The sequence below is a fragment of the Homo sapiens genome (assembly GCF_000001405.40).
Source record: "Homo sapiens chromosome 1 unlocalized genomic scaffold, GRCh38.p14 Primary Assembly HSCHR1_CTG7_UNLOCALIZED".
NCBI classification, from domain to species: Eukaryota; Metazoa; Chordata; class Mammalia; order Primates; family Hominidae; genus Homo; species Homo sapiens.
In genome coordinates, this window is record NT_187367.1 from 1 (window position 1) to 16,706 (window position 16,706).

Genomic DNA, 16,706 nt, shown 5'->3' on the forward strand with positions numbered 1-16,706 from the left:
GAATTCTCAGAACTTTCAAAACACAAATCTTCATCCGCAGGGATGTTCAGGAGGGAGATGCCTGATGCAGCACAACTTTCTTTCAGAGGAGTATCTTGCAGAATACAGTATGAGATACAGAAAGGCTGCATTGAGTCTTTTTAATGGCCCAGGCCTTGGTGAGGGTGGGGTAGGAGCTCTCCAGAGAGCATCTAATGAGTAGGAACAGTTCAGGTGGCTTTTTTTTGTTTCCTTATTCGCAAAACTGTGTGTACACCACGAATGAAGCTGGTCTCCCTTATCCACGTCAAAACTAAACCTAAATTAATTGGCTAAATTGGGACTCAACACCTCCAGGAGCCACGCGGCAAAAAGCCCCAACACACTTTAAATTAGCTTACCTCATCATATTTGAGGAAAGCAAAACGCTTATGACCAGTATGCTGCTAATAGAAGTCTACAGATAATGCTGTATGAAAAACTAGTTTTCCCAATCATAGCTGGCATAGTCCACATTTTGCATTACACTTTCCCCCCCTTTTTTTAAATTTTAAACACAGGTCTTTTTCTCTTCTTTTTTTCAATTTTAATTAAATTATACAAGACGGAGTCTCAGTATGTTGCCCAGGCTGGTCTTCAACTCCTGAGCTCAAGCGATACAACCATCTCCGCCTCCCAAAGTGCTGAGATTGCAGGCCTGAGACACTGTGCCTGGCCTTAAACACAAATCTTAATTCATTCTTACAATTATTCTGAGGTTACAAAAATGGAAGGGGAAGAAAAATGGCAAGTAGGTAGGCTGACTTCGGCTTCATTATTTGGAAGGACAGTTTGCTCGGTTAAAACACACTACTGCTTACAAAGGCCAAGACAACAGAAAAATACAGACTTACATAAATAGATTTTATATGTGACAGCAGTTTGAATGGAGACTTTTTCAATGCAATGAGAAACAGCTGTGCTTGGGAATAAATGACAACGAATTTTTTTTTATCTCAACAGCTGTCCTGAGAGCATGTCTCTACATCTCTACCTGCATTCTGGAATCAGGGAGAAAGCCAAAACGGATGACAAGACACTAGATCAGCCGTGTCCAACACTTTGACTACAAGGACTTTTTCACCTATCTGTGGTGGTGGGTAGCATGAAAATTATGCACAAACCTTTTTTTTTTTTTTTAACCCCATCAGCTGTTGTTAGCATTAGTGTATTTTATGTGCGGCCCAGGAGCATTCTTCTTCCAATGTGGCCCTGAGAAGCCAAAAGACTGGACACCTGTGCACTAGATCAAAAGGCTACTCCTTCTGGAAGCAATTGTAAAGAATTTCTGACATTATCTTGACATGAAAACCAATGGGTAGTGGGACAGAATGCAAAATCTTGAAGAATTTTTCTTGTCTTTTTTTTTTTTTTTTTTTTTTTGAGTCACGGTCTTGCTCTGTGGCCCAGGCTGGAATACACTGGTGAGATCAGAGCTCAGTGCAGGATCAAGTGCTCCTCCCGCCTCAGCCACAGTAGTAGCTGGGACTACAGATGCGCACAACCACCCCTGGCTAATATTTTATTTTTTGTAGAGATGGGGTTTCACTATATTGTCCAGGTTGGTCTCAAACTCCTTGACTCAAGGGATCCAGGAAAGGATAACAGGTGGGAGCCACCACACCTGGCTATGTGCATGAACTTTTAAGACAAACACAAGGCCCCACAAAAGTTAAGGTTTTTCCCACCTAATTTCCAGGGGGATCTTTTGGTGCAAGGCTGAGAAGCCCTTAAAAGTACACAGACAACTCCAAAGATTCAAGACAGTTCATTTGGGCTGAGCCAGCCCACTGGGCAGACTGACCTTCCAAAAAGACCCACCCATGACATACACCAGATGGCTCTCCAAGAATCTCTTCAGTCCTCAGGGTCCCTAAAGTACTGGACAGAGCTAGGAAAGCAAACCCATTTGCTTCTTCCTGCAGGAAACCCCTTGAGGTTAAGACCCCACAATCACATGAGGATGGAGTGGCTCACCCTCAGTCAACAGGCCAGACTCAAGGTGGTATAATGTCTTAACCACGGGTGCGGGCCTCCAGGTCTGACTCCCAACTCAGTTCTTCTTTAATAACCACACTTTGTTAATTTTCCTTAACAGGGGTTCCTGGCAAGTCATTTCTCCCTCAGGCCTTCGGTTTCCTCACCTACAAGATGAGAGGGCTGGACCAGATGGAAATTCAGGGGGTAAGGGGATGTCCTCACGCAGCCCACCCCCACCCCCACGGGACCCTGGAGCCTCCATCCCAGTTCCCACCACGCACCCGCTCCACAAATCCTGCCCAAGGTGAGGGCTGGTCCTGGGTCCTCTGGCTGCCGCATCAGCGAGTGCAGGAGGGAGGGGAAGCCTCCAAGGGGGTGACGTGGGCTCAAAGATGCAACTCGGCCAGGAGTGAACTGGGGCCCCGAAGGAGGTGTCCGGGCCGCTCCTGGAGCCCAGCCCGGGTCCCCGAACCCCTTACCTCCGGGGTCTGTATCTCCTGCTGGGTGAGGTCGTTGGACACAGCGCACTTGGTGCACAGCCCGCACAGGCTGCCAATGAAGATGACGATGAGCTTCTGGAGCTGCCCGCACTGCTGCAGCGCCCGGCTGGCCGCAGCCCCTGTGCCACCCTCCGTGGCCGCCGCATCACCCCCACCACCGCCCTCCTTCTTCTCTCCCATCGCCTCCACAGGCAGCGCCACTCTATGCAGGCCACAGGGGCCTAGGCAAGGAGCCTGGGGCGCCGGCACCTAGGCAAGGAATCCCTGAGCCAGGAGAGCTGGACCAGGAGCACCCCTCAGCGCTGCCCTTGCCAGGACGCCAGTAGAGCTGGCAGCCGAGTCTGCCGCTCCCGCCCTCAGAGCCGTGGCGGCGGGGACAAAAATCCTCGGCGGCGGGGGCAAAAAGTCGCGGTGACAAAAAGCGGCGGTGACCGGGGCAAAAAGTCGCGGCAGCAAAAAGCCGCGGTGGCGGGGACAAAAAGCCACTGCGGCGGGGGCAAAAAGCGGCGGCGACAGCGGCAAAAAGCCACGGCGGCGGGGGCAAAATGCCGCGGCGGCGAAAAAGTCGCTGCGACAGGGGGGCAAAAAGCCGTGACAGCGGGGCGCAAAAAGCCGCGGCGGGTAAAAGGCCGTGGCGAGTAAAAAGCCGCGATGGCAAAAAGCCGCGGTGGGCAAAAAGCCACGGCGGCGGTGGGGCAAAAAGGAGCGGCGGTGGCGGAGGGGCAAAAAGCCGCGGCAGCGAGGGGGCAGAAAGCCGCGGCGGCAAAAAGCCAAGGCGGCGAGTGTGCAAAAAGCTGTGTCGGCGGTGGGGCAAAAAGCCGCGGCGGCAGAGGGGGAAAAAGCCGCGGCGGGGGGTGTGTGGCAGAAAGCCGCGGCGGGCAAAAAGCCGCGGCGGCGAGGGGGGCACAAATCCGCGGCGGGCAAAAAGCCGCGGCGGCGGGGGGTAAAAAGCCGCGGCGGGCAAGAAGCCGAGGCGGGGTGGGGGCAAAAAGCCGCGGCGGCGGTGGGGCAAAAAGCCACGGCGGTGGGGGCGCAAAAAGGCGCAGCGGCGGGTGGGGGCAGAAAGCCGCGGCGAGCAGAAAGCCGAGGCAAGGTGGGGGCAAAAAGCCGCGGCGGCAGAGGAGCAAAAAGCCGCGGCGGCGGGTGTGTGGCAGAAAGCCGCGGCGGGCAAAAAGCCGCGGCGGCGAGGGGGGCACAAATCCGCGGCGGGCAAAAAGCCGCGGCGGCGGGGGGTAAAAAGCCGCGGCGGGCAAGAAGCCGAGGCGGGGTGGGGGCAAAAAGCCGCGGCGGGCAACAAGCCGAGGCGGGGTGGAGGCAAAAAGTCGCGGCGGCAGGGGACAAAAAGCCGCGGCGGCGGGGGCTAAAAAGCCGCGGCGGCGGGGGGCAAAAAGCCGCGGCGGTGGGGGCAAAAAGCCGCGGCGGGCAAAAAGCCGACGCAGGGTGGGGGCAAAAAGCCGCGGCGGGTGAAAAGTCGCGGGGGCAGGGGGGAAAAAGCCACGGCGGGAAAAAGCCGCGGCGGCGAGGGGGCAAAAAGCCACGGGGTGCAAAAAGCGGCGGGGTGCCAAAAGCGGCGGGGTGCAAAAGGCGGCGGGGGGCAAAAAGCCGCAGCGGCGGGGGGCAGGCAAAAAGCCGCGGCGACAAAATTCGCAACGGCGAGGGGTCAAAAAGCCGGGGCGGACTAAAAGCCCTGGCGCCGGGGGGGCACAAAGCCGCGGCGGACAAAAAGCCGCGGCGGCGGTGGGGCAAAAAGCCACGGCGGCGGGGGCGCAAAAAGCCGCAGCGGCGGGTGGGGGCAGAAAGCCGCGGCGGGCAGAAAGCCGAGGCAAGGTGGGGGTAAAAAGCCGCAGCGGTGGGTGGGGGCAGAAAGCCGCGGCGGGCAAAAAGCCGCGGCGGCAGAGGGGCAAAAAGCCGCGGCGGCGGGTGTGTGGCAGAAAGCCGCGGCGGGCAAAAAGCCGCGGCGGCGAGGGGGGCACAAATCCGCGGCGGGCAAAAAGCCGCGGCGGCGGGGGGTAAAAAGCCGCGGCGGGCAAGAAGCCGAGGCGGGGTGGGGGCAAAAAGCCGCGGCGGGCAACAAGCCGAGGCGGGGTGGAGGCAAAAAGTCGCGGCGGCAGGGGACAAAAAGCCGCGGCGGCGGGGGCTAAAAAGCCGCGGCGGCGGGGGGCAAAAAGCCGCGGCGGTGGGGGCAAAAAGCCGCGGCGGGCAAAAAGCCGACGCAGGGTGGGGGCAAAAAGCCGCGGCGGGTGAAAAGTCGCGGGGGCAGGGGGGAAAAAGCCACGGCGGGAAAAAGCCGCGGCGGCGAGGGGGCAAAAAGCCACGGGGTGCAAAAAGCGGCGGGGTGCCAAAAAGCCGGGGCGGTGTAAAAGCCCTGGCGCTGGGGGGGCACAAAGCCGCGGGTGCCAAAAATCCGGTTCGTTGGTGGGCAAAAAGCCACGGCTGCGGGGGGGGGAAAAGCCGCATTCCGTGTGAGGGGCAGAAAGCCGCGGCGCGCATGAAAGCCGAGGCAATGTGGGGGTAACAAGCCGCATGCCTTCTTGGGGGCAGAAATGTGCGGCGGGCAAAAAGCCGCGGCGGCAGAGTGGGCAAAAAGCCGCGGCGGCGGGTGTGTGGCAGAAAGCCGCGGCGGGCAAAAAGCCGCGGCGGCGAGGGGGGCACAAATCCGCGGCGGGCAAAAAGCCGCGGCGGCGTGGGGTAAAAAGCCGCGGCGGGCAAGAAGCCGAGGCGGGGTGGGGGCAAAAAGTCGCGGCGGCGGGGGACAAAAAGCCGCGGCGGCGGGGGCTAAAAAGCCGCGGCGGCGGGGGGCAAAAAGCCTCAGCGGGCAAAAAGCCGAGGCGGGGTGTGGGCAAAAAGCCGAGGCGGGGTGAGGGCAAAAAGCTGCGGCGGGAAAAAGGCCGCGGGGGCAGGGGGAAAAGCCACGGCTGGGGAAAAAGCCGCGGCGGCGGGGGGGCAAAAAGCGGCGGGGTGCAAAAAGCTGCGGGGGGCAAAAAGCCGCGGCGGGCAAAAAGCCGAGGCAGGGTGGGGGCAAAAAGCCGCGGCGGCGGAGGGGCAAAAAGCCGCGGCGGCGGGTGGGTGGCAGAAAGCCGCGGCGGCGAGGGGGGCACAAAGCCGCGGCGGGCAAAAAGCCGCGGCGGCATGGGGTAAAAAGCCGTGGCGGGCAACAAGCTGAGGCGGCGGGGGGTAAAAAGCCGTGGCGGGCAACAAGCCGAGGCGGGGTGGGGGCAAAAAGTCGCGGCGGCAGGGGACAAAAAGCCGCGGCGGCGGGGGCTAAAAAGCCGTGGCGGCGGGGGGCAAAAAGCCGCGGCGGGCAAAAAGCCGAGGCGGGGTGGGGGCAAAAAGCCGCGGCGGGTGAAAAGTCGCGGGGGCAGGAGGGAAAAAGCCACGGCGGGAAAAAGCCGCGGCGGCGAGGGGGCAAAAAGCCACGGGATGCAAAAAGCGGCGGGGTGCCAAAAGCGGCGGGGTGCAAAAGGCCGCGGCGGCAGAGGGGCAAAAAGCCGCGGCGGCGGGTGTGTGGCAGAAAGCCGCGGCGGGCAAAAAGCCGCGGCGGCGAGGGGGGCACAAATCCGCAGCGGGCAAAAAGCCGCGGCGGCGGGGGGTAAAAAGCCGCGGCGGGCAAGAAGCCGAGGCGGGGTGGGAGCAAAAAGTCGCGGCGGCGGGAGACAAAAAGCCGCGGCGGCGGGGGGCAAAAAGCCTCAGCGGGCAAAAAGCCGAGGCGGGGTGCGGGCAAAAAGCCGCGGCGGGCAAAAAGCCGAGGCAGGGTGGGGGCAAAAAGCCGCGGCGGCGGGTGGGTGGCAGAAAGCCGCGGCGGCGAGGAGGGCACAAAGCCGCGGCGGGCAAAAAACCGCGGCGGCGGGGACTAAAAAGCCGCGGCGGCGGGGGGCAAAAAGCCGCGGCGGTGGGGGCAAAAAGCCGCAGCGGGCAAAAAGCCGAGGCGGCGTGGGGGCAAAAAGCCGCGGCGGGTGAAAAGTCGTGGGGGCAGGGGGGGAAAATCCACGGCGGGAAAAAGCCGCGGCGGCGAGGGGGCAAAAAGCCGTGGGGTGCAAAAAGCGGCGGGGTGCCAAAAGCGGCGGGGTGCAAAAGGCGGCGGGGGGCAAAAAGCCGCAGCGGCGGGGGGCGGGCAAAAAGCCGCGGCGACAAAATTCGCAACGGCGAGGGGTCAAAAAGCCGGGGCGGACTAAAAGCCCTGGCGCCGGGGGGGCAAAAAGCCGCGGCGGGCAAAAACCCGAGGCGGGGTGGGGGCTAGAAGCCGCGGCGGCGGTGGGGCAAAAAGCCACGCCGGCGGGGGGTAAAAAGCCGCGGTGGGGAAAAAGCCACGGCGGTTGGGGGCAAAAAGCCGCCGCGGCGGGCAAAAAGCCGAGGCGGGTAAAAAGCCGTGGGGGCAGGGGGGAAAAAGCCACGGCGAGGAAAAAGCTGTGGCGGCGGGGGGGCAAAAAGCGGCGGGGTGCAAAATGCCGCAGCAGCGGGAGACAAAAAGCCGCGGCGGCAAAATTCGCAGCGGCGAGGGGTCAAAAAGCCGCGGCGGGCTAAAAGCCCTGGCGCCGGGGGGGCACAAAGCAGCGGCGGGCAAAAAGCCTAGGCGGGGTGGGGGGAATAAGCCTCGGCGGCGGGGGGGCGAAAAGCCGGGGCGGCGGCGGCGGAGGGCGAAATAATGGAGATGGAGTGGAAGGCCGGCACAGCTTGGCATTGCTGGAGTGCGATGTGATAGGAAATTTCCTTTTTAAAAAAAATCACTGATATGTTTCTATTTCGCAATAGATAAAAGCTAGTATTTCAGCCTACCATTGAGTGTACTTATAGCTCACCAAAAGGGCACTCTGTCTCGGGAATACAGATTTGCCTAGAGTTATCCTATTGCAGTCAAAGAAAGAGCAATGAGGGATAGAAAAGGTTAGTGATGGAGACACCAGCGCTGCATTTTGCAACAAACAATGTAAAAACTTTACGGATTGGTTCTGCTAAATTACTACAGTTTACATTCCTCTCAGGTGAGAGAATTGTTGCGTTTTTTCTTAAGATAGAAAAGCAATTCAGATAATCTGAAATCTCCACAAGAAGGATAAGAAGCACAGCAGAAACTATTCTAGGCAGGAAGTCAATCCTTTCAACTGTCTGTCCTCCATAGAAACAATTGTCTGCACTGGGAGTCATATGAGGTACAGACCACAGCCAGACCTCTGATCCTCTCATTAGTGATTTCAGAAGAAATTACCAGTCAACTGAGTAACTCACTGAGTAAAGTAAACATTTGGCACTGAAAGAGGTTAGACGGATAACTATTTGTATCACCATATTCATGAAGCTGGAATATGTTCCATTACTCGTATGACATCCGAATGGAAGATGTTGAAAGGCCTCTCAGCTTGTAAGATGGATATGAAAGAACATTTTCTGAGAAATGAAATTATTAACACACCTGCGAGGTGCATGGAAGAGAAAAAAAAGAATAATCAGCTTGAGTTCTTCTCCTTGATAAGAGAACTCACTAAAAACATAAAGAGAAAAATAAAAGTATAAAATAATTAGCCAGAAGAAGACGACTCTAGAGATTTTAAATTGCTGATAAGATTTTAATTTGCTCCAAGTTGAAAATAATTATATTGCTTGTGTTTTAAGGCACATAATGAGCAATTATATCACACATGATAGTTTCAGCAGTAAAATAGTATCCGTTAACAGCTGGAACTCATAAAAGCATGGCACAATGTGAAGATGGAATTTGCTAAAATAAACCATCTGCTGAAAACTACTATTCTGCAAATTTAAAAATGAAGTTTAAATGTTATTTGTCTTATTTAATAGGTCTGTGAAAAAAATGCGATGTTTGAAAAGTAGGTGCTACCTTAATTAGTTTTTTATGTTAGACGGCTGGTTACAGTAATGCACAGTAAGGTGCTACATAGATATGTTGCTAATTTTCTGCATATACTATGTATTTTGCTTAAATTATTTGAAATTTTATAGTTAAAGTAACAAATGTATACTTAAATGTTTTGACACAAATTGAAAATATACCTTTAAAAAGCGTCTTACACTCTAAATATTATTTGTCACCTATATATTTGTCTTTTCTCTATAGGAAAGTTTAAATTTTTCCCTTGAAGCTTTAATTATTTGAGTTTATAAAATAAACTGATAATGTACAAATTAACAGGAAAAAAGGTTTACAGCTACGTGCACAAGTATGCACTTGGAGTTTACATAATATATATAATATATCTATACAAATATTTGTATATTATAAACAGACATACAAATATATACTATATATATAAAAACTCCAGGAAAGGCAAGGTAGTCAACAAGCCTATGCTGTCTTGAGGTTACAGAAAACACAGAGCTCTAGGTTGGTAAATCAGGCTTTGCGGAAGACAGGTGACAACAAGGAAGAAAGAGGAGCCTGGCAGCAGAAGTGGTCTTGTTACATGGGTGAAACCTCACAGGGAGCAGCCCTCCTCTTGGGAAGTATAGATAGGAAATGGTTTTTAGAAATGTAAACGTGCCAGGCTCAATTAATCATTCCTAAACCCAGACAAGGGAGTATCTCAGGGAAAGCCTGTCTATATCAATGCAGATTTTCTCTACAAATACAAATCTCCCCAACAAACACAGCTTTTCAGCTATTTTTGTAGAAGAAGCTATCTCCAGTCTTCCGAGTAGCCATCTTGAAATATGTCAAAAAGCTGGCCAGGCGCACGCCTGTAATCCCAACACTTTGGGAGGCTGAAGTGGGTAGATCACCTGAAGTCAGGAGTTGGAGACCAGCCTGACCTACATGGTGAAACCCCGTCTCTACTAAATGCAAAAAATTAGCCGAGTGTGGTGGTGCATGCCTGTAATCTCAGCTACTTGAGAGGCTGAGCTAGGAGAATTACTTGATCCTGGGAGGCTGAGGTTGCAGTGAGCCAAGATTGTGCCATTGCACTCTAGCCTGCGCAATAAAAGCAAAACTCCATCTAAAAAAAAAATGCATTTTTGGGTAATATTTTGAGTATCTTTACCTCCATATATACAATAAATAATATTGTGATTTTTAATCTTTGCTCTTCTGTGGAAAAAAACACAGGTATGATTTCTAGTGTAGCTGAACATCGTTTATTTGACAATATTGCAGTTGTGTGTGGGTGTGTGCCTGTGTAGCTACTCTTTAAATTTGTTCTCACATAATGATTAGATACTAACAATTAATTCAGTAAAATGTATGTTTTGCAATATTTCTCCATGTTGTTATGCTTTAAATTAGTTTAATCATGCCCCTATGATGTGTACATTTTAACCTTTCACTATAGGTCTCAATCTTGCTTTGGATCCTGTATTTCAATTTATGCTAACAAAGTCCTACAGCTAAAAAAGATTATATAAACTTAGCTACATTTTTACTAGTATTCTGGTGTCATTTTAAATTATGTAATGAAATCGAATTTTAATTTGGATTATTGTTATCTGAGTTAAGGATATAAATTTTTAATTTTCTTATAAATATTACATAATTATTTCTGAACCATATATTGACTAATCTGCCCTTTATATGATGTGCATTATAAGAGCTTGGGATTGTTTCATTTGGAAAGATGAATGCTGGAGAAGTAGATATTTAATCATAACATTTCAAAATCTACTGGATAACCTAGAATTGAAAAATAGACTATAGGTTGAAAAACTCCTGTAGTGAAGAAAGAAAATAACTAATATACATTGACAGTATAAATATTATAAGTATTTATTTTATTAACGCCCTGAAATTTGATAATACAAACATGTAATATCTACATATCATCCATATATCAGGTCATAAAAAATCAATACATTCTTCAAAAATTTAGCATAACAGAAAATGCACTCTCTCTCCTTGATGGAATTAAGTTACAAATAAAAGTAAAAATAAGTAGATAAGTAGATGGAAGTAGATGTTTAAAAACAAAGAAAAATGTTTGTTTGGGATAACATAAAATCTCAATTGACAATTCCAATATTTCCAGAAATTTGCCTGTCAACTGGTGGAGAGTTTTCCCCAGGAGACATTTGTCAATGTCTAGGGTTATTGTGGGGATGTCAAGACTGGTGGAGGCGTGAAATTTAGAGGTCAAACGAAACACCTAGCCTTGCTAGGGCAGCCTCCCACAACAAAGAATCCTCTGGTCCTAAAGGTAAGTAGCACCAAGGTTGAGAAACCATAATCTAGACAGGAAACACTACGTAGCTATGCCAAGTGTTCAGGAAAACACATCAGTGCCCTCGAGGGGAAAAGTGTAAACATTTTAATTGCTGTACATGGTGACACAAATCCATGTTGTTAATCTAAGTGGAAGGAGCTGAAACACAAAACGTAATTCAAAGAGTTTACTTGAGCCACAATGAGGACAGCTGCCTGGAAGAAACAGACCCAAGTATCCCTGGATATGAACTCCCTTTGGAGCTTTGCAACAAGCAGTTTCTTAAAGGCAAAAAAGGGCCCAGAAGTGTGATGATGCAAAGAGGTTTGTCACAAATTCTCATTGGCTTATGGAAATAACATTTATTAGTGACTGGCTATACACGGTTACACTATTATGGGGTGTGGATTATAGTGTCTGGTGTGGCGTTATTGGTTAATTTATAGCTACTGTGGCAACAGCAAGCAGCCTAGATGAACACACAGCTCAAAGAGGAGAAGGACAGAACTGCTGTCTCATTTGAATATCTCTCTGGGCCTGATTATTTAAAGGGACTTGCATTTCTCACATGAAAGTTATTTTCTTTACTCAATGTCCATAAATGAGAATAAATAGACGTAAAATAGATCTTTTTGAGGATGAAGTAAATGGAATGAAAAACAAAACCCAAGCTAACCAGAAATCATAGAGGGAAGAAAAGGTTATAAATATATGGATTTTTCAAAGTGATTTTAAGCTATTAGGAATCAGTTAAATGTTGGGAGATTCTGTCTGAGAATAGGTTAAAGGAGAATGTCCCTTTTGCCTTCTGAAGTTTCCCTGAAAATCACTAATAGGAGGCAGATAAATAGTAGAAAAGGCATACAGGTTTCTGCAATGTGTGTACACTGGAGCCCTTAGAACGAAGACCCAGACACACGATGCGTGCAGAAGCTTATCTACCACATGAAATTTACAAAAAGAATGGGGTCTTGGATCACAGGGAAAAAAAAAGAAAGGTTATGTGAGAAAACGACCCTGGCTAGCAACAGTGGACTTATTACCTAGGTGGAATCTCACTGGGAGCAGTCCTCAGAGAGAATAGACAGAAAATGTTTCTTTCAGACATTTGGAGACCTCAGACTCTCAGTTAAACTTTCCTAGATCCAGACAAGGGGGCAGACCTCAGAGAAAGCCTGGCTGCATCAAGGGAGTTTCTCTACCGATGCAAATCTCCCCAAGACAGCTTTGCAGCTAACTTTGCATTTCCAGCCCTTCTCAATAGCCATTTTGAAATATATCAAGGAAATATATTTAGGGGTAAAATATATTAGTTTCCCTCATACAGGTATAAAACATACAGGAATAATTTTTGTCAATATCTACTACAAATCCAATATAGCAGTAATTATAAAACCCACCAGATATTGAAGAAAAATTATGTAGAGTACCTCAATTACAAATGTTGATACTAAAATGCTAAATAAAATAAAAATAATATCCAACAATATTTGAAACAGTAAGACAAGAAATTGGCAAAAAAAAAAAAAAAAAAAAAAACAAATATGCACCTTGGGGATGAAAGTGTGTTTCCAAATTTGGTAATCCAATAATATTAATAATCATATTGATTAGCCCAAATTAAAAATAAATAGGGGATTCTCAGTACATGCTAAAGTATATTTGTTAAAAGGCAATATTCATGTCTTTAAATATTTTAAATGCTATAAAGAGTCTGATATTCTATATGCAAACATGTGTATGTCCATTAGAAGAAGAGAGGCCTGGTTTTCATATGTCACTACAAAGAGATAGAGAAGTGGATAGATAATTTGCATATGCATAGAGAAAGCATAACATAGAAATTTACTATCATATTAAAGGAATTTTAATTCAACAATAAAATAATTCAAAGGTAAAATTTTAAATATTTTTAACAGGTACATTATTATTAGATAATATTTATACTAATTGTGAAAATATTCAATGCTAAAATAAGATACAATGTCTAAACATCAGTATTAAAACTAGTATAACATTTGCTTGTTTATACAAGGAAAATTCAAGCTCGACCTAAAATTATATGGGAAATAAAAGAAAAATTTTAAGAGAGCTCTTTAATAACATAATCATATGTATACATACACACACATATATAACATGTATATATGTTATATGGTATAGATATAGATTTAACATGTTATATATATATTTGTATCTATAACTACAGCTGTATGTATCTACATTTCTATATATTTACTCAGTGATATAAATATAGACTGGAATAAATATAAAGACATATATGATTCTTGGATAAAAAAGATTTAGTATCATAAAGGCAAATTCTTTCCAAATTCACTTATGAATTCACAACAATATACAGTTTCATTAGTATAATTTAAAATTTTTAAATAAATTCCAAGATTCATTTAAAGGAATATAAATGTATACAAGCAGTCAAGAAAGAAGCAAGAGTGCACTAAACTAACTTGCTATTAAAATACCTTTTTAAACTTAGTCACTAAAACTGAGCAGTACTGATTTGGAGTACTGGAATTTAGGTATATGGTATCTCAAAAGCACAGAGCTCAAAGGAGACCCCTGTATGCACGAGAGCTTAAGATGTGCTTTGGAAGGCATTACGAAACCACGGGCAAAGTTCCTTTAGTGTCTTAGTCTTACTAGGTTTGAAAAGCCAGAGAAAAGACTCAAGACCACCATATAAGAGCAAAACAAAAGGACAGGGAAATAATGTGAAGATACTGAAACATTTTACATACAGTTGTATAAAGCATCCTTTAAAGAAAATATAAAGTTTAGGATATACATAAAAAGCAGCAGAGCCACTAAATAAATAGATAGGCATTGTAAAATAACAAGAGAAAATTTAAATGGATTTCTAAAAAATACTCACACCTATGATTTTTAAAATATGTTTAAGAAATCCCGTATTTCACAGGGCAGCCTTTCACAACACAGATATGTTAGGACATAAAGGTCCTCCTGTTTTTAATTTACTAGTGTTTATAGGGTTACAAATGTCTTCTACCCTTGTCTTTTGTCTGATGGTGCAAAAAATTTTCATAAGCATGTATTTCTGAATGCCTGATGGATTGACATATATAATAAGCTGCTAGTATTAAAATACGTGACATAAAACGCATCCAACCTTCTCACTGTTCACATAAATTCTAGATTTCTCCTATTTACCTCAAGCACGTATGGAGCGAATTCTTACCTTTTAATATTGCCATGGCATTCACATTGAACATAAGTTGAACTCTCTCATATGGTAGCTGGGTTCGGATTCCCTTGACAATTTCCAGTTCTAACCCTCACAGTTCCTCAGTGTGGCTGGCCCAGATATTGACCCTACACAGTTGCCTCCTCCTGGTGACTACCAGCTATGGAACAGTTGGATACAACCTACCTGACTCACCCCACAGACCTCACAGTGCACATGGACAGCCCCCACACGCCAGAGTGACCTGCTCGATTGCAGCAGGAGTCAAGAAATGTGCCTGCTGGCACTCACCCCACCGACTAGTGCCCCGTGGAAAACTTATTTGGATAATGTTCTGGGCCCAATAAAGGCTGGAGTCCCACAGACCCCTTTTCTCTCTCCTGCTCCCCACTCATCTTCCCCATTTTGTTCAGCCCTATGAGGTGTGCTACTGTATTAGTCCATTTTCACACCGCCGGTAAAGACATGCCCAAGACTGGGTAATTGCCAGAAGAAAGAGATTTAATAGACTCACAGTTCCACATGGCTGGGTAGGCCTCACAATCATGGCACAAGCCGAAAGGCACGTCTCACCTGGCAGCAGACAAGACAAGAGAGCTTGTGCAGGAAACTCCCCTTTATAAAACCATCAGATCTTGTGAGACTTATTCACTATCAGAAGAACAGCATGGGAAAGACCTGCCCCCATGATTCAATTACCTCCCATCTGTTCCCTCCCACAACATGTGGGAATTCAAGATGAGATTTGGCTGGGGACACAGCTAAACCCTCTTCTCAGCTACCCTCTTCTCTCTGGATCTGTGAGTAATAAACCTACTTCTGTGATTTCCCATGTTTGGTTCTGTGGCCTCCATGTGTCTGAGCTGACCTACACTGCAACCTAACTCTCCTCCTGGCCAGGGTCTCTGAGAGTGGCTCTTGTCAGAAATACACAGGACACAGGTCAGGTAACAGTCACCAGACATCTCTTAGTCTCAACAGATGTTCCGTGAGAGGGAGGCCTGGTCGTGGGATGCACACCTGGCCACTGCTGGGGTAAGGAAGTGTCCTGTGAAAGGCACATGTTAAGCATCCACAACCCCCTGACCAGAACCCCAGAAAGGCAGGGCTCCAATTGACAGTCACTCTCCAGAGACAAACCTGAAGCCCTAACTGGAGGAAAAGAAAACACTGTAAAAAGTTGAATTTATCTTACTATTTCAATGATCCAGTAAAGATATTCTATGCCTGTACACCACATATTTTCTTCGATTGTGGATTTATTTTAGATAGAATTTTAGGTCTGGCTTTCACTTTAGCCTGGTCCCTACCTCAAGCATAAGGTAAAGATTTTCCATGCGTTCTTTTCTGGTACTACTACCTGCCAGTGTGGGGTCATGTCCTAGTCTATCTTGAGGCAATCCCCCTGTTCATTATTGTCAGAGTGAGACTGTTAAGTCTTGATTTCCCTGGACAACTTCACTGTATGACTTTTCATATGATTTTTTAATATACCCTTTACTGGACAATAAATTCTATAGTTATCTGAATAAGAGATATGCTCAGGAAGAGGCATTGCCTCATTCAGCTTTTCTCTTAGTTGAACTCGCATATGTTCTCCTCACCCGCCAGTCACCTCTAAACCGTATTGTTCCAAGACAGCAAACAGAACTCCAGTGTGTATCTTTCACCACTGGATTTATGTTTGCTCCATAAAGCTTCATGCTTAACAGGGTTTCTGTTAGCATTTTCTCTATTTACTTTCCCATAAAATATCACAGGCCTTCTTCTTATGGAATTATGGGTGATTTCCTTCAATCTGCATCATATCAAGCTGAGGTTCATGTTGATGAAAAGTAAAGCATACTTTGAAAATATCAGTAAGGATGTTTTCCCCTCCTTTTTAGCACCTGTGCTTGTGTTACAAGCACATTTTAATACAATTGTAGTCTCATGCTTTGATCATTCCTATGATGAAAATAACATTTTTAGATAAAATATCTGAGTTTTATGAGGCCTTTAGTATGTGATGTGATAGAATATCAGAAGACCATACTTTTTTCTAGTTGTCCGTGCAATTCTATCATTGTTTCATCTTTACTCCTACCAGAGTAATTTTCCAAAATAGATATCTTGTCATTCTTCCTGTTGTTATCAGTAAATATGTGAAATGAAAGCTAGATTATATAATTTATCTAGAACAAGAAAGTAGAATTGAATCTGTATTCATTAATGAGACTAACCAGTCAATTACACAGACAGGCATTGTACATTTTGAAGATCATATGGACCCATTGTCAGAAATATTATTATTTATGTCTATATGGACATCACCTGTGCATATTTACATAGAAATCAATGAGAGCTGATTTTTACTTTTATTATATATATTTTTTGAGATAGGGTCTTGCTTTGTTGTCCAGGCTGGAGTGTAGTAGTGCAATCACTGCTCACTGCAGCCTCAGCCTCCCAAGCTCAAGCAATCCTTCCACCTTGGCCTCCCAAATAGCTAGGACAACAGGTGCACATCACCTTGCCCACTTTTTTTTTTAACTTTTGATAGAGACTGGGTCTTGCTATGTTGCCCAGTTTGCTTGTGAACTCCTGGGCTCAAGGAATCCTCTCATTTCAGGCTCTTCAACTGCTGGCATTACAAGCATGAACCACCATACGGGATGGAAGTGGATTTTTAAAATACTGAGCTCATATAGATGACAGCACCTGAAAAATAGACAACACCAAGCTTTATGTTAAAAGGTGTGAGGGTAGCAATATGGTTGTGGCTATTGGGGAGGAAACCATTAGTAAAACCAGTAAGTTAAAGCTCTTGCTTTAAACTTTGGCTTTAATTTAACAAATGTT

General features: G+C 47.0%; 1 pseudogene; it reads left to right on the top strand.

Moving 5' to 3' along the window:
• The first annotated feature begins 2,169 nt into the window (after nt 1–2,169).
• On the top strand, nt 2,170–5,013 carry LOC101059996 (circumsporozoite protein-like; annotated as a pseudogene).
• Nucleotides 5,014–16,706: the final 11,693 nt, after the last annotated feature.